Genomic DNA, 22,980 nt, shown 5'->3' with positions numbered 1-22,980 from the left:
TTACAAAATTATGAATTTTACACAGATGGTTATTGTTGCTTTCTATAATACGTTAGTAAAGATAATATGTTTTCTTAATGACTGATACCAGACTAAACTTAATCGACTACATCAGCATCATCTCAAGTTTCATATGCTTGTGTTTAAGTATGTGAACTTCGACCCAAACCATATAATCCTTGCTTATTGCAGTGGACATTGTGAGACCAAATTTTTGTCAATTCTCATCAGTTTATATGAACTGTTGCTTTTACTTAACAGACTTTTATCTTGTACAAGAGGAGTGATTTTATTGTTCATATGAATAAATAAGTTTATACTTAAACTTTCTGTTGTTAAAATAAGGCATTACTCTATTCAAATATTACTTTGTCTCATGACTGTTTGCTCTGTGCTTTTTCACAGATTTCACTGACCAGCAACACTCCAGTGAAACTGCAGTCAAAATTTATGGAGTCTGCAGTAAATATGAAGCTAAAGTAACAGGTAAGTGAATCATAATGCATTCTTTTCAAAAATATGTTATTTATTCATAACTCAAAAGTAAGTGTTTGATACTTCTAATGTCTGTTTTGCGTTTCTGGAGCACATATCATTCCTTGCAGTAAAAGTCGTATCCTTCTCAGTTAGATAAGAGATTGTTATTAATGACTTCTGAAAATTTATCTCAGTAAGAAGAAGGCTACTGAGCTCTCCAGATGACCTAGAGTGAAGGGTATGTTTTTCTGGTTAATTTTTAAATAATATTACTGAGATGGATTTATTTAAGGTTAGTATGTGTTATTTGGATATTTCAATATTGTCTCATTAGACATGTACCTGAGGTTATGACAATTCTAAAACATTTTGATATAATTTGATTTTTAAGGGTTAGTTTAGATATTCTGGGTGCTTTTTAAGTGCTAAATAACTGGTTAAGTTTGATGAACTCCCTGATATTTTTTCAGCAAACGTTTTATATAATTCTGACACAATGCCTTTGAAACCTCACAGATTCATCTTTGGAGATAGAATTCCATAGACTGTTCTATAGATTTGATGAAGGCAGAGTTCTGTGTATTATATAATGGATTTCTGCATAATAGAGAATAGAATTTTATAATAAGATAGTACTTTTTGTTTAATTCTCAAGATCGGTCTTCTTGTTTTTAGAAACTCTCAAAACCTAGACTAACTTGAGAAACACCAGGAATCTTTTCTCACATGCATATACACATAGACCATATGTAGAGATGCATATTAAAGATTCTATAAATACTCACATACTTAAGATTTTCTTTCCCTCTTTCATGAAGTCAGTATGACTTGTTTTTTTTCCAGCAAAACCTATCTCTAGAAAGAACTCAAAAATGGAAAGCTCTGTAAAGAGTTCAATTGCCTGTTCTCTGAGCATTGACCAAAACTCACCAATGCCTGGTTCTAGAATCTGTAGTAATTGCTAATATACTGCATCAGATGTTAGTTTCTGTTGACCTCATAGCCAGCTGCTGTGTTGGCCCATTGGCTGCTTAGAACAGAAACAGGAAGCAGCACACAAATATTTCCTTTGAAATTGATGACTACAGCATTGAAAAATATTGACCTTTATGTCAAAGAAAAATAATTATCAAGTGAAAAATGTATCTATGACTAATATTTATATTATTAGAAAATTTTCTGTAAAGTCAACTTCTTTAAGGTTATAGTGTAAGCTTCAGAATAGCTTGCAATTATACTGTTTACACGTGAAGCAATATAATTTTTTCATGAGAAAATATAGGAATTCAGATTGTACTTTAAAAAACTAGGTTCTTTAAGGCCAGTATTTTGAAAGGTAATTGATGCGTTAGGCTACATTATTTTTTAATAATTGATATTAGGCTACATTATTTTTTAACTAGGTAAAATTGATAAAATTTTGGTCATATTCCTTTTGCAAGAAAAGAAGGAGAAAGATATGGAATCTCTGGTTTCATCTGAGGGTCTAGTCACTATTTGATCTGTCTCTGTTGATGGGAGAGGAAAGACTGGCTTTTTACTTAAGTTCAATATTCCCACGGTGCCTAACAGTCTAGTTTCCAGTATTCAGTCTGTCATTATACATTTATGTATCAACCAATCTCATTTTGCTCCAAGAAAATGATTAAATTGCTTAAGCCATAATTTCATTTGGGCTTAACAGTTTCAGCTATCTTGTCATTACTGTCATTGTCATCCAAATAACTTCTCAACTACCTAACTCTGCATAGTTTCATGCTTTCTGGTTTAAAATTAAGTAAAGCGATATGGTCTCTGCCCTCTAGGAGTTTATAATCTTAGAAAAATTTGGCTATGGCAACCCTGAAAACCTCTATTTAGTTTAACCTGTGATTTTTTTTCCTTAGCTCTTTTCCAAGTTCCTATCTGTAGATATATTGTCTCTAATTCAAAAGCAGAGGCTTGTAGTTCTGTGTCTGTGTGTGCCTGCTTGCCCTTCTTCAGGTGCACTTAAAAGCATGTGTCCATATCTTCATTAGGTGGACACATCAGGCCATAGACCTGGTGTCATGGACTCAAAGAAAAAGAAAGATGGTAGATGGCTGGGTGCAGTGGCTTACACTTTTAATCCTAGCACTTTGGGAGGCTGAGGCGGGAGGATGGCTTGAGCTCAGAAGTTTGAGACCAGACTGGGCAACATGGTGAAACTCCGTCTTTACAAAAAATACAAAAAATTAGCTGGGAGGGATGTTGTGCACCTGTAGTCACAGCCACTTGGGGGGCTGAGGCAGGAGGATAGCTTAAACCTGGCAGGTCAAGGTTGGAGTGAGCCGAGATCACCCCACTGCACTCCAGCCTAAATGATAAAGTGAGACCTAGTCTCAAAAAACAAGATGGTAGAAATGTTTTCACAATATTCCAATTCAAATTTAACTCTGAACTCAATGCTTTGCCCAGCACACCACTCCTGATCAGAGATGAGTTGAGAGCACAGAAAGATACTTTTACTCAAAGTCACTTCGTTGCTTCTGGAGCAGCCTGATATTAACTTAATCCAGTGGTTCCCATCTAGGAGGCAGCCATTCCCCTCCTTCCACAGCATGGAGATGTAGATCCCAAGGTGCTACTGACTTCAGTAACCCTGGAACAAACAGAGGAAAACTGAGAGTGGTCTGAGGGGACACAGGTGGATTTCTGCCCCTTATCTCTGTGTCTTCCCTAACACAGCCACCTCGAGACTGTGCACATTGTTAATAGCTGTCATTTCTATTTCTGAACAAATCACCTCCATGCAATTTGCACTCGAGGGTACTGGAGAGTGTCCTGCCTATCTCTGTACATTAAATAACCTTATTGTGTTGCTGAGCCTGGCTGTGTCTCTCCCTTTCTCTGTGGCAGGTGTATTTATCATTTTCCCCACTCTGACATTCCTAGCTTCAGCTGCCAGACCAGGCCTGGTGCCTTTCTCTCAGTAGATTAGTTTGCATTCTATGGGATTAAAAAGGTTTAGAGAGCTACTGGGAGTTGGCAGGAAGAGCCTGAGCTGTTTGGAAATGTCAGAAAATTGTCAAGACTGCCAGTTTTCTGGGGGATAAAATGGGATGAGGAACAGTAGCACTTTTCAATTAGATTCTAGTAGACAAAACGTCACAAGAAAGCAGCAGCAAGGATCTCTAAGATAATAAGAAATTCTTGTATTCTGAGAAGGGTAGGAAGAGAAAAGAGGAGGCAGTGGTGAAGGAGTTAACTCTCTTTTTTCATGAGCAATTGAAAGTTGACAAATGGGACAGCCCAGTACATCACACTACGGTGTCACTCTTTGGTCTTAGTCAACCTTGTGGAAACCAGTCATGGGAGAAGAAGCCACAGGAAATGAGGTGCTCTGAAAACAAACACGTGACTAATGCATTTAGCATCTCACATTCCCATTTCAGTTTTGGCTTATATTCTGATTTCTTTCATTATTTGTGGAGGAGGGGGCTTTTGTCTTTGATGTGTTTCCTTAGAGAGAGGAGGCACTTCCTAGTGCTCAGAAAGAAGCCTTGATCTCCCAAAGATTCCGAGCAGGTGACAAAGGAAATGTATGAAAGATTTGTTTTAATGCTGTATCATATGCAGAACTTCAACTGCTAAGAACAAAGAGAAATCACTGTATTTGAAAACTCTAAAAGGTGGTTTAGGCATGAAAAATGAACCAGAGAGCTTTATTACTGCACTGCATATACAGATAGATTGGCTTTACCATCCTGCCATTGTTTTCTGCCTTTACTAGGGGACGTATTCTTGGTAAACTTGGAAAGAGATGTGACTCAGTGCACCAAGAAAAAGGACTGAGACCTGAGAAACTTGGCAAAGCATTTCCTCAGGTTTGGCTGAATTTGAAGTGAAATACTCATGTCATTCCGGAGACCTCCACAGGAGTAATTTCCCCCATCCCAAACACGAGCTTATAGCACATTTTTATGCCTTCTTTGGCAGAGAAGGAAGAAGGATAGACAAAAGCAAAGTTTTTGGCTTTTTCTGCATGGCATGAGGAATGGGAACAGTCTTCAATCATAAATCGGGAGGAAGAGTTTCAGTCAACCTCTTGAATTTTGCACATCATTTGTAAAATAGGTTGGGTAGAGGGTGGTGATTGGCCCACACAATTTTTAGGTTTACTTATAAAATCCTTATTAAAGTCATACCTCCAAATTTAACAGCTCAACTAAGCTAAGGAACTCTGCCCTGCCCAGGTGTTCTCTGTGCATATGTTAAGACGAAATCATCTTCTTTGTTATGACTAGTCCTTAACCAGACATTGAGAATTTGAGGGCCAGTGTCAGGGACATCTAAAGCTATAGGGTTGATCAATGAGAAACTTCCTTTTGGCCAAAGTGTTGTTTTTCAGCCACAGCAAAGTCAGATAATTGCTTCTAAAGGAGAGCAGATTCCTAAGGGGATGCAGGGGTGTTTCCTAGCTGAGTGAAAGAACTGGATTTTGTCTTCCCGGGATAAATCTCAACTCAAGTTATTTACCCATTAACATGCATGAGGCTTCATTTCACCAATGAATCCTCTCTTCTGTGTCTCTATCCTCTTCTATTCCACAAGATTCCTCCCCTCTGTCTACGTGTATGCTCAAGCCTCCCTTGGTTACGCCTTCACTTGATGGTTGTACTCAGATCTCTCCATCTTCTTTCATTCTTTTCATTTAGGCATCAACGATGTAAAACAGGACAGCAAAGGCTCTTGCTCTCATGCAAATTAACTTCTAATTTGCTGTGGGGCGAGACTACAGGGGAAAATGAGGAATGATAAACACATCCATAAACAAGATGCTTTAACATAGTGATAAATACTTTAAAGACAATAAGACAAGGTGATATGGAAAGTGAGTGAGCGGTGAGACAGAGGACTTACTAGAGATTGTGAAGCCTAAAAGATTTCTCTGAGGAAATGACATTTCAACAGAGACTTGAAATTATAAGTCAGATCCAGCCTCTCAAAGTTCCATGACAAAGCATTCAAGGGAATAGGGGTAGAAAGTGCCAGCTTGTTGAGGCCTGAGGAGCTTGGCACTGAGAAGAGAAAGAAGGCCAGTGTGACTGTGTCTCAGTGTGCAGCTAGGAGAATGGCAGGAGACGAAGGTTGAGCATGGGAGGGCTGGATCCGGACGACCTGACTCCTGATGAGCTGTGGTTAGAATTTGGAGGCTCACTCTGGAGGATTTTAAGAAGGGACTGACACAATCTGATTTATATTTTTAAAAATCAACCCTGCTGTTTTGTGGAGAAGCAAGAAGGCCAGTTAGGAAGCTACTCTAGTAGTGCAGGTGACACATGATGATGGTCTGTACCTGGGCCATTCATAGAGGCATGGAGATGGATAAGATGCAATTTTGAAATGAGATCAACAGTATCTGCGGATGGAAGCACAGGATTCTAAGAATGAATTCCAGGTCTCTGGCTTGAGTGCTTGTGTGTGTGGAGATAACGATGACTAAGATGGGGGAAGCTGAGGGAGGTACAGGTTTGAATGTTCATGAAGGATAAGGATCTGGGTTTGGCCTGCTTCTTTACATTGTATCTGTTTCAAATAAATATTATAATTTCCATGTGGGGTAGGGGGAACTACCACATCTTTTCCATTTCCAGGTGGTAGAACTTCCTATTAGACTGATACCATTGACCTCTCTCTGCCCCTCCTTTTCTGGGAGAATCAATCGCTTGATTAGAACCTTTCTGAGAAAGAGCTGGTGTGCTTAGTTCTGCTTCTCCCACCAACTTTTCTCCTTGAGATTTGCCTTCATTTGGGTTCATCATCTGGAATTACTGTGATCCTTCACTTCTCATGTCACATGCATTCAATGGTCACATCCATTCGATTGATAAGCCATGTTGATTCTCTCTGTTGTAGCTCTCTTGTGTTCCTTTTTTCCTGTCATTCTCTGGGTGCAAATCCTCATGACTTATCCTTTGAAACCTTGACTACCAACTTACATGCTCATTTAATGTTAAATGAGCTTTTGTGTCATTTAATGTTAAATGAGCTTTTGTGTCAATGACTTTCAGTGGGCTTGGTTAGAAGAAAGAAATCAAACTCCCTCAGACCATTCACAATTTGGCCCCAAATAGTTCTTTTCCAAATCATGCTCTTAAAAAAAAAAAAAAAAAAAAAAAAGGTGTCTGTGTTGCTTCATGGCACTCTACATTGTCCTGATATTTTCTGTCCTCAAATATTGTATTAGCATGTGACCTAGAGCACAATAAACACATTGAAAATGTCATAGAAATGTTTGTGTTTATACACATCTTCCTCTGGCCTCCAGCTCCACATTTTAAATACTTCTTATCATGATGCTTTGCAAAAGTAGACTCTCAAGCCATAATTGTCAGATTAAAAGGGAAAGAATTTGGGCCAGGCGCAGTGGCTCACGCCTGTAATCCTAGCACTTTGGGAGGCCAAGGCAGGAAGATCACCTGAGGTCAGGAGTTCGAGACCAGCCTGGTCAACATGGCAAAACCCCACCTCTACTAAAAATACAAAAATTATCCAGGCATGGTGGCGCATGCCTGTAATCCCAGCTACTCAGGAGGCTGAGACATGAGAATCGCTAGAACCTGGGAGACAGGTTGCAGTGAGCTGAGATCATGCCACTGCACTCCAGCCTGGGTGACGTAGCAAGACTCTGTCATAAATAAATAAGTAAATAAATAAATAAATAGGAAAGAACTGTCTCAGAGAATTTACGATGTCCTGAATTCTGACAAACCTCATGAAGGCACCAACTTTCTAAAGAAGGCAAGTGAATTAGTAGGGGAGAAGTGTAGAGTCAGAAAGAGGCCAAGATAAACATTACTATGTTCAGTGTAATCTGTTTCTTTCCTTTTCTATAACTTTCAGCAAAGTCTCAAAGGATCCTCACAAGCATATTTTAAGATGCCTTTTGTGGATTCACGTCCTAAATTCCAGACTTGTTTTACCCAATCTGCAAATTACCTGGTTCCTTGATGACTGATGCGACGTAACTGATGTTCAGGAGTGTATAAAACACTGATTTTTTGTTTGTTTGTTTGTTTGTTTCCTTTTGCTCTAGTCAAATATGTAATTTTCTGGTATTTACCCAAAGCTACGGATCTACTCTTGAATAGCTTTGAGCACTCTATGTATCAAGATCATATTTTTTATTTACATCAGAACATTTGTTGAAGAACACGAGGTCAGTACAAACAATGATTCTGATGCCATCAACGAGAAGGAGATAAAAATGCACTGATCCTCAAAAACTGAAAGTGGCAGCAATTTCTAATATGCTTTTAAAGTGTAGTGGCCCAGTGACCTCTTATTGATATCATATTTTTGCTATTACTAAACATTCTCAATTACTGAATACCACCTGGATCTCACAATAACGTTTTAAGATAAGCAAGGCGAGTATTTTAAATTCACACTTGTACTGATGAAGTGACTGAAGTTCAGAAGAAAGAAGTAGCCCGAAGTCACAATGTTAGTGAGTAGTCTGGTGAGAATGTGAATCGTCATCTATGGGTCCACACAGACGCTCTTTTGCAGCATTGTTCAGCAGATTTACCAACTAGGATTTGAGAGTATCCCAGATTAAATTAACCAGACCAGGGAAAATCCAGGCAAGTTTACACACACACACACACACACACACACACACACACACACCCCAAGGCAATTTGTGGGGCTCAAGAAAAAGTACAATATTCGTCTTCTAGTCTTTCAATTTTGCTACATTCAATCTGTATTAATTTGTGTTTCTTGATGACATGCTAAGACAGAGACAGCAGCTAAATGAAATCAAATGCTGCCTATCTTACTTAGTTTCCCATTTTTTATCTAAAAGCTTATCATTCACTAAATCTAACCAACTGCCATATACAATGTGGGAGAAAAAAACTTTTCAGAAAGATCTTGATTGTTCCACCAGTTCTTTTTTTCATCCTTGTCCAAAACTCTGCCAAATTTGAGGGCAAATTTCCAGTGAAAAACAATTTGGGATTGAAGGTTTTCCACTTTGTATCAAATCGGGATTGAAGCCATATAAATGGCACCTTTGGGGATGATGTGGGCAGTATCTCTGATCATCTGGATACTGTGCTCTGAAGTCTCTAGTGACTTTCCACCTAGGTCCTTGGCTCATCCTGCTCCAGCCTCCTGGCATGCTATTTCCCTTGCTGCTGGTACAAATCTCGTCCATATTTCTTGCATCAGACACCAGATCCAGTCAATCATACAGATCCAGAATCTGTATTTTGCTAGGGCTGCCGTAATAACGTACCACAAACTGGGTGAATTACACAATTGAAATGTGTTGTCTCACAGTTCTGGAGGCTAGAAATCCAAGATCAAGGTGTGGGTAGGGCTGGTTCCTCCTGAGGGCTGTGAGGGAAGGATCTGTTCTGAGCCTCTCTCCTGGGCTTGCAGAGGGCCTTCTCCTTCTTCTGTCTTCACATTGTCTCCTCTTGGTACTTCTCAAATGAATAATACCCTGTTCTCTGCTGCTTTAGGGTGTTTTTCAGTGCTATTCCCTGTGTTCTTTATCCCTGCAAGTTCTTGGATACCTGGATATAGCCTGATTTCTTCATTCCTTTATGCACTGATCTAGAAGAGCGTCCTTCATGTAGACAGATTTAAAGGAATGGATTAATGAATATCCACAATGAAACTCATGAATAGGAGTCTTTGAAAGCAAACATGAAATCCCTTTGGCAACATTACATTGCCTAGCTCTTTTGAACAGGATGTCCTAACATTTGAAAGCCTCTCATCAGCTGAGAGCACATCAATATTATTTGATTACACTTATATATAGATTCAAGGATAAATCTTGCAAGAATATATGGGTTTGTAGTACAGATTGGGACTCCATCCGGGCCTCTTTTAATTCATACTCTTGTCTTTGATTCTGATTTACTTTCAGTTAGAGCACTGATTTACCTTTTTTGGTCTTTTCTCACTTTGTTCTTCATAAGCCCTTTGTTGGCTTTCTAAAAGTTATTGCCACTGAATTAGATTTTAATGGAGTTAATATATCAGTATGTTATTTAGTGTTTTAGTCTGTGATTAATCCTAGAAAAGCTGGGTGAGTGCCTTACCAGAGGGCCGCATGTTCTCCAGGTTGCAGCATTATTCATGTCAGATGCAAACAGACAAATACAGAGCAGCAGGAAAAAATGAGGTGAGGAGGCTGGGGAGTTCAGACTTTGGTGGAAGAAAAAGGAGGGGTGAAATGTTTTTACGCAAGCTCAGTTTTCAATTCTATGGTCTCTAATGAGGCAAGCAGACTTTAATCCTGCCATAGCTAGGATGAAAATGTTATTGATTCCTGATCTATGTTTAATGATGAATTAATAGATTTGCCTTTATATTCAACTCTGCGGCACACTTATTTCTGTTTAAAGAGCAGGTCCTTAGGTTGCATGGACCTGAGACTTAACAGTTCTCTGTGCCTCTCTCTCCTTGCCCAGTGAAAAGGAGCTTAATCCTTATTTGGCTCCTGAAAATAATATGTAGAACCAGTTAAATCTGATCCCCAATTTGTATGAATGTGATAAAATATGCATTAACCTCCCACTATTGCTTTTCTTGTGCACAGGCAAAGAGAACACCAGCAGAAAGTTTACCAGAAGTCCCCTCTCAAACACAGATGGCTACAAAAACCTGAGAAACCTACTCTAGCCCATTAACACTTTTCTGTCCAAAAGATTTCCTGAGAAGCTGGAAATTCTGCCAGCCTGGGCTATGATGTTGGCACTTCCTCCTAGTTCCATTTTCTCTACCTGGTGCCTGGCTGGCAATGCATTTACTCCTTCAATGTGTCCTGAGCCCAGGGTAGGACAGAGTGATTTTTTTTTTTTTTTTTTTTAATTCAAGACACCTGGAGCTACAGGTCACTTTTGAAACCAGCAAAAATAGCCTGCAGTTCTAGGTTACTTTGACATAGGTAATGACTTAAAATTCCTCTGAGCTTAGATTTTATACTTATGATTCTTTAAATTAGCTCTCATTATCCCTGCAGGTTTCTGCCTTTTGAGCTTTTAAAGTCACAGATTTCAAATATAACCAGGGCACCAAAGTCCTTAGCTTCTAAAATCACAAACCCCCGCAGGATGGGAATGATAATGCGTGTATGTTAGTGGGGGTAGTGGGAGTTACAGTTAGTGAAATAAAGAATTGAAGAATTGTCCTATGGTGAATGGAAGAATCAGTGCTGGCTATTAGCTACAAAGGTACCAGCTAATACCTCACTGAATCTGTGCCAGAACCAAACAAAACTTTGGCAGGGGAGGAGGACTATGGAGGGTTACAGAAAGAAGATACTACTCCCCTCATCGCTCCGTCCTTATATATATATATGTAATATATATATATATATATCTTGTGCCATGTGAAGCAAAAATAAATACATGTATTGGGCTAGAATTTCATGTATCTTGCCCCATGTTTGTGATTAGGTTTAATTTTTACAATCCTACATGGTGGGGCTTCAGTAATATAATATTTCTGTGGGCAACACATATATTATGAACCACTTATGGGCATAAATAACAAATATTATTTTTGTTATATATAATCAGAAAGCTTGAAAGGGAACAAAGATGCCATCAAGACTGTCTGCCTGTCTCTGTGCAAACGTGACTGTCCTTACAGAAAGCAGTAGACATATGGCTATCTGGACTGTTTTCAAAGGATATGGCCATCCCTCCTTTGAATAAATCATTCCTGCCGTTTAACAACCTTTACAGTTGGGACGTGCCTTCTCATAAAGAACTTGCTTTTAGAATTGACCAGGGTTTCTCCATTTTGCTGGGCAAAACAGACTGCTTTGTATTGTTTGACCACATACTAATGCTTTTGTAGAGAAAGAATTCATTACATGGTGAATGCGGGAGGGTGGTGGCTATTTCTTCGGAGAAGTGCTCTCTTCCCTCCCTCAAACTCCTACAATTTCAGATTGGATTGTCTCAGATCATCTTTTCCTTCCCCTCTGGGTTACAGTGCATCACACTAGATGGCAGTAATACCCCAGTTTGAAGAGTCCATTTTACATCTTCCCTCCCCCATTACAATCTTTTCTTGTCCATAGCAATATGGAATAAAACATGCAAATAAAATCCCTTCATTTTGTACAAGGTTCATTCAGAAAAGCTGATATACAATTAAAGCTGGTAATGAAAAAAATGTGTTAAATGATATAGAAAATTCAGGCATTGTGAGTTTTTTTGTGTGTAGCGGGTACGGGGGCCAGTCTCTGTTTTGTTTCTTTGTTTGTTATGGTTGTTTTTCAGATAGATATAGTTTCATTACAAAAGAAAATTTGTTAGAGCCAAAAGTCTAAGCTTAAGTGGTAAGGTAAAAGTGTATTTCTGAGAAAAGAAAAGAATTCAGTCATGCCATTAGCTTATTCTTTTCTGAAATCCTATGTTTCTTCCAGCAGATTGGCTATGCTTTTATGCAACATTAACCTGGATTTTCTAGACGGAGATGGTCAGATGAAAGCTCACAGCCCTATGTATATTGCCCACTAACAGGGAGTAGAATAACTGGAAGGAAAACAAAACCAACTCAAAAGCTCCTAATACAATGAAGAACCCTTTTCATTGTTTTTGTGTAAACCTGGAGGTTTGCAGATGATTTGGAAGGAGACAAATTTAGCTTCTGTAAAATATTCTTGGACAGCTAATCCAGACTTCCAGAATGCCCTACTGAGAACCATCTAAGAACGAGATGCAAAAATAATGGCTCTATTCTGATTGGCAATCATTCATTTTACATGTAAAGTAGTAAAAACATAAACTGTTTTTATCAAAACAAACTCATCAAACATTTAACTTGATGTTACTGGAATGTTATTATTTTTTTTCCTCTTCCAGTTCACAGCCCTAGGCTTTATATTGAAATTCACAGACACAATGCTCTCATTTTAAAGGAAAGCATGTAATCAACCTTTTAAAGATAACTACACAGAAAACTGAAGCAGCGTCATAAGAAGCAATGTGAATTCATGAGCAAATATGAAGAATGTTGCTCACCCCACATGTGAAAATGCTTAGTGCATTATTTATAGACATTGTTTGACCGGGGAGATCAAGGTCATGTGTGGACTCCTGGGCAATGGGTCAAATCTTAAGAGGCTGCCCTGATAATCCCTGCTGACAGTTTCTTGGATTGTGTTGGTGTACTTAAGTAGATGCATTTTCCAACTTGGAGGGAACAGTGAAGAACTTTAAAAAAAAATTAGTTAGCTATTCATTTATCTGACTTGATCACAACTCATTAATTTTGATCAGAAACAGTGTATACGGTAGGGAGGTTGCTATATTCACATGCTCTTTTCCTAAACTCTCTAAATCATTCCACTAAGAGAAATACACAATTAACCTTTCCCGGTGACAACTGCTCCTTGCCTTCTACCCCTCGCCAATAATGTTTCCATATATTCCAATGTCCAGAGTAAAGCAGACTCAATAATTAGTGTGACTCAGAAGAAAATACTGAAATCTTAGAATGTTTACTGTAGAAATTCTCATGGAAAATTATTTCTAAATGTTTTTAAAACTTATATGTTAAATATTGTAGAATTCCATATCTTTGTCACCCATAGTGGGCCCATTGTTTATGTGTCACCCTTGGGTTCTCCTGTGTTATACAGAAGATGTAGACTGGCTTGCTCAAGTAATCATGGGACATGATATTGAGGTCCTGACCTCTTCTAGCATTACATGGGCAGTGGCATATGGTGGGGAGGTTGGGAGGAGTGGGACACCCCAGTACAGGCAATAAGGAGGTACATTGTCTGTAGATAATTTTAAAATGACAGTAAACCTCACTAAAATAGGTCTGGTTTTTATTATGACCATGCACCAGCCATTCTAACAGTGTCAGTAATAAAACTGTTACCCCTGCCAAGCAGATCCTCCCCACTTCATGTCCCTCCCTTGAGGGCTGCTGAAAGGGGAAGTTCTTGATGCCTTCATCCTAGCTCAGAGGGGCTGTATTTTCTACCTAGGTTTATATGTAATATTAACATAAACAAAACAAAAGCACACAAGTTCTCTCATCTTGCCTTTTATAATATTTCCCAACTTAGTCTCTATCTTTTCTTCAATTTTAATTTGGAGATTTCTTAAAGTATTCTTGTGAGCACTGAGGATTTTATGGCAATTACCATGTACTATGAACACTGAACACTTCTAGATTGACCTCAGTTTTATTGACATCAATTCCTTTGGCTCTTTCTTTACATCCAGGATCAGTAGATCAGAAATGATTGAAAATAACAGAATCCTTCATATTCACAAAATACTGTAAAAGCAAAACCTGCAGGAAGAGATGTCCCTATTTAATAAGAATGGAATTGGAGATAATAGAAGATGGCAAAAAGGCCTTCTGTGGAGGGCAACGGACACAAACTTATCACCAAAGTCAGTATGAATCGGGTAGCCCCTAAACAGGCAGCTCAGGACATTGGTTAGACACCTCTGCATGAAAGTATTTTTAGGACAATTAAATCTGTCAATGATTGAATTTATAAAAAAAAAAATTTATGAATGGAAAGCAGTGCTGTCATCATTTATACAGCCCAAAGAGGTGCATAAACAGGATCCAGAATCAAAAGCATAGATTCTGAAGTCATGCAAAATAAGATTTTAGTCCTGACCCCAGCACTTACTACACATATGACATTGCTTAAGCTATTATTTCAGACTTGAGTTCTCATCTGATTAACTGGTATAAAGATAGTATAACAATAGCATTTAATGGGGTTGCCATGAGGTTTACATGATACTATATAGATAAAATGCTTACCTCAGTTCTTGGCACAGAGAAAACTTTCAGTGCTTCTTAGCTGCTTGATTCCATATGGAGCTCCACACGCACACTGAGTTTTCTCTGGCCTAGGCTAGCCACCAAGTAAGTCAATAGTGGGTTTACAAGCCTCAAGCAAATAATCACTCAGGCTTCTCCTCTTAGCTTTCCATCTTTACTCACTTTCTCACACTTTAATCCCAATTACTTGGTTAATTAGATAGTGTCCCATGCCCTCTTGCCTGTGTATATATAACAATATTATACTCCTAGCATGGGTGGTAAATTGTTTCCAGAGAAAAAAGGCAGAATCAGGGTGAACTACAGTCAGAGAATTTTCCATGGGATGGGAGAAGCTGGAGGTCACCTTCAAAGAATAGACTGGGTATGAGGAAAGGGAGCAGGAAGACCCGTCTCCTCAGGGCTGGGGGAAGGTCACCAGCACAGGAACATGGAGATGGGTCTTGAACAATTTGAAATTAGGTTGGTGAGGTGGGCAAGGCTGCATGGAGAGACCTGTGAATGCTGAACAGAACTCTATTGACAACGGAGGACACCACCTGGGATTCCAGATTCAGAGCTGGGGTTGAGTTGTGGGGTGAGTGCTTGGGCTGAGATTGGAACTAGGAGTTCTAGTTAGGGTTGGAAACTGAAGCTGGGCTTGGGAGAATGGGGGTTTTCATGTTTCAAAGCAAAAGTACCTGTATGGATGCATACGTTTCAGAGAATCCAAATCCCTTGAGGTTAATCAATGGATTTCTGTTGAACAGCCTCTGTTGCCCTCTGTCTATATATGTGTGTATAAAGTAATATGTTGTGTGTGTGTGCGTGTGTGTTCATATATACATATGAATGTTGTATAGTTATTCAAAGCAGTGACTGGTCTTGTTGCAGGAAATGCTGTCTGATAAGTTTGCTAAACTGAATTGTAAAAATAAGGAATAGCATTTATTTAACTCCATGCTAGACACTTCATATATGTTACCTAATTTCATTTTAACCTAATGGAAATGGAGGAGAGAGATTGCAGTTGGTGTGCAAAGGGACCTGGAATCAAGGAAACCAGACAGTAATCTGCTGCCAAAATCCAGACTGGAATTGATAAAGCAAGCTGTGGAGTGTGGTAAATGAAGGTGGGAATGGAAGAGAAGGGGGAATATGTGAGAAATGTAAGAAAAGGAGTTATGACTTCACTTTGAAGCGGACCAGGTAGAAGAGCTTTTGGAGAAGGAACGCTGGAAGATGTGGGTGAATTTAACAACTGAGGGGGCTGCGGGCTCTGAAATGTTTGTAAGTTGCAATGTGCTCACGCTAATATATAAGGGATTATTATATTATTTTACCTATCCATACAACTCTTCAAAAAGAATACTTGACCTCCTGCTGCACATTATCCTACTTTAAATAATAACCTTCCAGCTCTTCTCTGACTTTGCCTTCCCCTTGATTCAAGCAGGTGAGGGAGAAAATACAGCTACAGGCTGGGTTACTTCAATTATATCAAACCCCATGACCTCCTCTTTTCCAATCAGGACATGGTTACCCTGGCAACCAGCTTCTCTGTTTTCTTCTCATTTTCTTTCTCCAGAAGTACAAGTTAGTTTACACAGACTGGCTGAAGAAAACCTGTTCACTGTGTCCTGCTTTGGACAATGTGGTTCTTCTAAAGAAATCACAGTGTTTCTCTTTCTTAAATGGGTCAGGATTTTTAAATGCCATTTTTCGCTGAACATTTTAAAATGCGACTTAAGCTGAATACACTAGCTCATGGAAAATGTGATCTCCCCATGGAAGCAATACATTTCACTCTATCCGTGTTTGAAGCTGACATGGTAATAGGTGGTTTGGTGAAATCAGGAAACATTAACAATGCCCTCCTGAACTTAAGGTCCAAGCTGAGATAATGAAATCATGATTTATTTTTCTCAAATCTTCCATTCTCCCTTCTTGTCATCACTCAGCTGGCATTCTCAGAAAGAAACATCATAGAATTCAGGGATGAGCTGGGGTAGAAGGTGATATTTTTCCTAATGTAGTAGTTTTTGAGGAGGAAAGTTAATTGTTACAGTGGGCAAACAAGGTCTCAGGCCTCGTAAGAAAGAATAGTCCTTTGGTACAAAAAAGATAGCACTTACCCTTCTGGCCTTTTTGTCCTGTTTTTTCTTCAGTACCAGTCCAACTGATATTTAGAGCTGCCACTAGAAGAGTTTTAGAAAAGATGACTAGAAAAAAAAATCAAGACCATAACAATTATTTTCTCACTAACATCAACTTATATTTGAGTGGTTTTGAACTACTTGCAGAATTTTGGTTATGTACAGCAAAGGGGAAGTTTAAACAAATAGAAATCGCTAGATTTATACTGGGGCATGACAAAATCTGGGCATTGATGTACATAGTTTTTTTTTTTTTTTTTTTTTTTTGGAGACAGTCTTGCTCTATTCCAGGCTGGAGTGCAGTGACGCGATCTTGGCTCACTGCAACCTCCACCTTCTGGGTTCAAGCAATTCTGCCTCAGCCTCCCAAGTAGCTGGAACTACAGGTGCATGCCACCATGCCTGGCTAATTTTTTGTATTTTAGTGGAGATGAGATTTCACCATGTTGCCCAGGCTGGTCTTGAACTCCTGAGCTCAGGCAATCTGCCTGCCTCAGCCTCCCAAAGTGCTAGGATTACAGGCATGAGCCACCGCACCTGGCTTATGTTAAAGGGTTTTTGAAAAATTGTTAGGGATTTGGCAATTCCTAAAGTTTTAGGGATTAGTTTAGAGTTCCCTGAATCTAATAAAAATAGGGTGGTCAAGGTGGACTTCACTTAAGAAAGAGAAACAATGTGATATCTTTAGAAGAACCAAATTGTAACCAATTTTTTTCCTTTTCCTTTTTTTTAAATTTTATCTAAAAAACTTTTGGTGCAATATTAAAAAGCAATACAGCCAGCTGAAGTGACAACCAACAGAAAGAAGAAAGGCAGGAGAGGGAAGGCCCAGGAACCTCACCCCCAGGTAGTCCTCCGTGGGCTGGAGGCCAGGAGCAGAGTGAGAAGGTGGCATGGGTGGTGGGAGAAGAAGGCAAGAACACCCACCAAAATGAACAGGCAGATCCAAACATTTATACAGGAAACATCTGGCTGAACAGAAGAGGATCTTGGGGAGACGAGAAGCACCTCCACATTGTTTTTTTCCTAAAATGTGGAGTTGGGTGGAGAGATTTGAGCAAAAAAAAAAAAAAAAAAAAAAAAGGAAGGAAATGAGGGATGACCCTTGGGAACGTTTGAAGGAAGAAAATTCTAGACAGAGGATATCTCCAAAGAAAGGTCCCAAAAAGGAAGTGTGTCTAAATTTTTGAAGAAGAATAAGAAAGCTGACAAGGAGTAGGTGATGGGGGAGTTAGAAGCGATGAAGTCAGAGACATATTAAGGAAGGCAGAGAGTGGAGTAGCAGGTTGTTGTAGATCATCGTAGGAAATCGTAAGGATGTTGCCTTTTATTCTGTGGGATAATATCTGCTAAAAGCTGTTGCATGTTACTATTATTACATCATCCACAGCCTGAGACTTTGCAAAAACAGGGTTGGTACTCTGTCAGATTGTAAATATCGAAGGCTTGCAGGCCAAATGATATCTACTGCAACTGCTCGACCTTGGTGTTGTGGCACAAAAGCAGCCATGGGCAACCTGTATAAAATGGCATGGCTGTGACCCCAAAAAATGTATTTACAAAAAGAAGCAGGTAGCCCACAGGCTATAGTTTGGCCGCCTCTGATCTAAAGAGTTACTCTGATTTATATCTATATTTTCTGGGGAAAATTAAGCTTAGGGGAAATGAAAAAGAAAACTACATTGATTGACTATCTGTTATGCATCAGAAAGTGTCCTAGGAATTACATGTGTGTGTGTATACACACATACAAATCGACATGTATTTGTAAATACATCTCTGTAAACTAGAAGAGGAAGAGAATATCCTCAGTCTCATAAAAGCTTTTCAAAAAAAAAAAAAAAAAGCACCCTACAGATAACACCTAATGGTGGATGACTGAATGCTTCCTTCCTAAGACAGGGAACAATTCAAGAATGTCCACTTCTACTATTCATATTCTACATATTACTGGAATGCTACCCAGTATACATATATATGTTACATAATTGTCTATTTACATCCCTATAATTATCTACTTAGCCAAGACAGCTTTATCTCTCATGAAAATAACTTCAGTGGCCTCCTTCCTGATTCTACTTTACATATACACCTCAATTCTGTCAACATGATTTTTTAAAATATAAGCATGCCAAATATTTAAAGAAAGACTAATATTAATCTTATACAACTTCTTTCAGAAAACAGAAGAGGAGGGGAAGACTCCCAGTTCATATTATAAGGTCAGCATTACTCTGATACCAAAACCAAAGACAGTTACCGTAGGAAAAGTACAGAACAATATCCCCCATGAGCATAGACACAAACATTCCCAATACAGTACTAGCAAATCAAATCTAACAACATATAAGAAGAGTAATACACTAAAACTAAGTGGACTTTATTCCCTTATTCCACTAATGCAAGGCTTAATCCATATTTTAAAAATCGAAGTATTCTACAAATTAAAAATCAAAACAAGCAAAGGCACGTGATTATACTGTTTGATGCAGAAAAAAGTATTTGACAAGCTTTAATCCCATTCATGATACAATCTCTCTGTAAACTAGAAGAGGAAGAGAATATCGTCAGTCTCATAAAAGCATTTCCGAAAAAAAAAAAAAAAGCCTACAGATAACATCATAGTATCACACCTAATGGTGGAAGAGTGAATGCTTCCTTCCTAAGATGGGGAACAATTCAAGAATGTCCACTTCTACCATTCATATTCAACATATTACTGGAATGCCACCCAGCACAATAAGGCAAAAGAAAAAGAAAAATGAAAAAAAAGAAAAGGCATACGAATCAGAAAGAAATTAATCTGTCACAACTTAATTGACAATTATAATTCTATATTCTAGCAATGAGTAATTAAAAACTGACAGTAAAAATAAATATCATTTAGAATAATTCCTCCAAAAGAGAAATACTTAGGTGTAAATCTAAGAAAACATGCATAGGATGTATATAGTAAAATCCAAACAATGCTGATTTATAAAATTAAAGACCTAAATAAATGGAGAGACATACTGTAGTCAGGAATTGGAGTAATCAACATAGTAAAGACAGTAATATTCACCAAATGGATCTATAGATTTAATGCAATTGCCAACATAATCCCAGCATGATTTTTTGACAAGCTCATTCTAAAATGAGTATGGAAAGGCAAAATACATAGAATTACTTAAGCAATTTTGAAAACGATAAGGTTGGAGAAATCACAAACCCAATGTGATTTTGTGTCTACAGGAATCCAAACAGAGTGGTCCTGGTAGAGGGACGGACACATAGATCAATGGAACAAAATAGACACAGCTATGCAGAGCTGATTTTTGGCAAAGAAAGGACTACTATTCTCTCTTTTGCATCTTCATTCTTTTAGTGGGTCAAGTCTAAAACTAGAATCATCCTGATTCTGCTCTTCCTCTCACATCTTTATTTAACCCATTAGAAAATCCTATCAGCTCTTCCAGAATCTGATTACTTCTCAACCTCTCTACTGTTCACACTGCAGTGTGGACCATTACCTCTTGTTTAGACTTACAATAGACTTAATTGATTTCAATACTTTCACACTTGGCTGCCATATAGTCCATTATCCATACTGTTGCCAAAGTGATCATTTTGAAAGTTAAGAGAGATTATATCCATCCTTGGCCTAAAAGTCCTCAAATGGCTTCCCATCTCACTGAGAATATAAACTAAAGTGATGACCAGAGGTTTAAAGGATCTTACATGATCTGATCTGGCCCTCACTATCTCTCCTCTCTCTCTTCTCTGTCTCTCTGTCTCCCCCTCTCTCTTATTGTTTGTTCTGAAGTCATACTGCCTTCCTTGATGTTTCTTGAACATACCAAATATGCTCTAGCCTCCTAGTTTTTGTACTTATGCTAGAAAATTCCTTTTCCCAAAGATTGAGAAGATTCAGTTTCTTACTTCCTGCAGTTCTCTGCTAATATGGCATCATGTCAGAGAGACCTTTCCTGACCATCCTCTGTAAAAACAACAATCTGCCTCTCCCTGGCATTCTCTACCTGCTTTATCTTTTTCTCTCCATTTGGTACATGCAACCTACTAGTTAGTTATCTATTTTCTTCTTTATTTACTTATTCTATAAGTAGAATTTAACTTCCATGAGGGCAGAGATTTTGTTTATTTCTTGCTAAATTTCTAAAATGTAGAATAGTCCCTGTTTTATCATAGGTACTCAATACAGAAATGTTTAATGAATAAATTCAATAAAGGTATGGCCTTGACGTCCAACTCAGAATCTAAAAAATTCTTGACAGATCAACAAAGTTCTGCCTTCTATGAATGTGTTTTGAAAGTACTTTTAATAAGTAATTTAGGTTGTATGAAATATTACTATTTTTTTGCCTTTAATGTAAGACAATTGTTTTGTTTGTTTGTTTTTGTCCAGTCCTCCAAATTTCTCTCTAGGGAAAACTCTTTATTCAACTCTATAGTACATTGGTCATCATTTTATTTTCAATGATTTATTACTATTACTTTAATAGTCTAGATTCCATGCTCAATAGTCTTCCTATTTCTTCCTTAGCTCTTTACCCCAAATTAAGAAATGCTTCTCCTTGGTGTGTGCTGGTTTTTTCCATGTGTTTCGCATACTCAGTTTTAGTACAAATGTGTTTAAATAAAAGAGAAATTAATGTTTTGGCTTTTTTTCCCCGTCTTCGTCACAGTTTGAATTGATAAAATCACACATTTCCAACTTGAAAAGAAATTGGCAAAAATTTACTAACAAATATCTTGTTTTCCCTTTAGTTTACTGAAAGACAAATAAAAAACCTAAAGTCTTAATTGAAAACTGGTAAATTCTATAGAACTTGTGTTGAGAGCCTCCTCAGCAGAATGGACATTTGACTTTTATATGGCAGATCAAAATAAGAAAGGGGTTCAAAGTACATAAATAAGTTTATGTAACACAAAAGCCATGAGGTGCTTCTTTTATACTCAATGATAATGAGACTGCTACAGTAAACAAAACAAAACAGAAGAAAAAACAAATGAGTAAGCATCCGTGATATACCTAATTCTGTAGGAAATTACGATCAACAGAAATGCTTCATAAGCAAAGAACATAATGTTTATCCTCAAATTGTCTACAATCTAGGTCGTAGGAGAAGCCAAAACCACAACTGCCACCACATGACAACAGATGAAAGAAAGACAAATTATTACTGAGTTTTGGGCTCCAAAGCCTCTTAGGGATATGGGGAACTTGTAGAGAACCCAGAGAAGAGCCACAGAGATGATTAAAGAGTTGTAAAATGGGACCTTTGAGGACAGGTTAAAGGAATTGGGATTACTTAGTTTGAAAGTGAGGTGATTAAAAAGTGGTTTCATAATAGCTTCAAAAAATACACAATGTTAGCTAATTGATGATGGTGGCTAGCTATTCTCTAGAACTGGAAGAAATGCAAAAAAATACGCTATCTGAGAGATTTGAGTTATACGTATAGTAAGGAGGAGTTTTCAGAGATTGATGATAATATGGATAGTCAAAGTGTGAAATCATATTTTCTTCCTGGTGTATTTAATCTTTAAAAATAGAGAAGAAATTTATACAGCTGAAAAGCAAAGGTAGAGAGTGAAAGGAAGCCATTTCTATTGGCTACAGCACTAGATGATTTATCAAACTGTCTTCCAGGTATGTGACCCTTGGACCTTTTGCCAGAATTTACTGAATTTTGCAATAAGCTTACCATTAACTCTGAGTACAAAATCTGGCACCTTTTCCTCTCAACTTTAATTTTTATGTAACACTATTTATCTCTACAGATTGAAATTTTAAGTGCTTGGTATTTTGTATCCACTTATAGTCAGGCACACCAAAATGTCACAAAGGGATTCATTGTTTTCTTTAGGAAGTATTTGATTGTTCATTGGTAGATGATATGTAGTCCTCTGGTATATGAAGCCAGGCTGGCAATAAAAATTACTTCCTTGGGGATTACAATTTATCTTCCACTTAGTATCTTCCGATATTTTTTGTAGAATAAAAAATCTGAAGTAATTTGGCTGAATTTCACCTTTTTACTTGTTAAAGACTAGTTAAAATAATGTGATGGTTGATGCAATGATTATGAAAGTATATTTTTTCAGTCCAAAGGCAATAATTCAATTGAAAAGCTCATAAAAAGGGTATTCTGACACAGTTCATCTCTCTCGATGCTTGGATAATGTTTGATTTCTTCCAAACCAAATTTTAAACAGCCTAAGCAAACCAAAATTTATTTGAAAACCCAACTCTTATTGTTTGCTTTTTCAGTAGGGTTTTTTCTTGGCAACAAAGAGCCTGAAGTCTTAATAAAGCTGGGAACTTACTTAAATGCAGTGATGAAAAAAATTGGGCCAATGCTTGGGGAAACTGTTTGCCAAGAAATTTTAGAACAATTGCATTTTAAGTATTGTTCCATTTAAGAGGTGGAATTAAACTTCTATGAAGCAAAACTGCCTATATGCCTTATCATTGGAGTGTGTTTCCACAACCGTAAATGAAATTAGGTTTCTCATTAATGAAGCAAATAAATCTGAATATATTCCCTGA

General features: G+C 37.9%; 3 long non-coding RNA genes across 4 annotated transcripts in view; 1 reads left to right on the top strand and 2 right to left on the bottom strand.

Moving 5' to 3' along the window:
* Positions 1–22,980, top strand: part of LOC105374976 (uncharacterized) — a 289,589-nt gene that overhangs the window by 168,259 nt on the left and 98,350 nt on the right. For both annotated transcript variants that reach the window (XR_001744046.2, XR_007059501.1), the window contains one exon: positions 406–486. This is a non-coding gene — a long non-coding RNA (uncharacterized LOC105374976). The remainder of the gene's footprint in view (positions 1–405; positions 487–22,980) is intronic.
* On the bottom strand, positions 2,939–5,076 carry LOC124901276 (uncharacterized). The gene is made up of 2 exons (XR_007059506.1): positions 4,975–5,076; positions 2,939–3,097 (listed from the first exon to the last, which is right to left on the bottom strand). It is a non-coding gene; the product is annotated as an uncharacterized LOC124901276 (long non-coding RNA).
* Positions 5,154–22,980, bottom strand: part of LOC105374975 (uncharacterized) — a 36,848-nt gene continuing 19,021 nt past the window's right edge. The window contains exons 2-3 of the long non-coding RNA XR_001744048.2: positions 16,410–16,496; positions 5,154–5,230 (exon numbers count right to left, since the gene is read on the bottom strand). This is a non-coding gene — a long non-coding RNA (uncharacterized LOC105374975). The remainder of the gene's footprint in view (positions 5,231–16,409; positions 16,497–22,980) is intronic.

The sequence above is a fragment of the Homo sapiens genome, chromosome 6 (assembly GCF_000001405.40).
Source record: "Homo sapiens chromosome 6, GRCh38.p14 Primary Assembly".
Taxonomy (NCBI): Eukaryota; Metazoa; Chordata; class Mammalia; order Primates; family Hominidae; genus Homo; species Homo sapiens.
The sequence above is the reverse complement of the archived record's forward strand: the minus strand, read 5'-3'. Positions and strand labels throughout refer to the sequence as shown.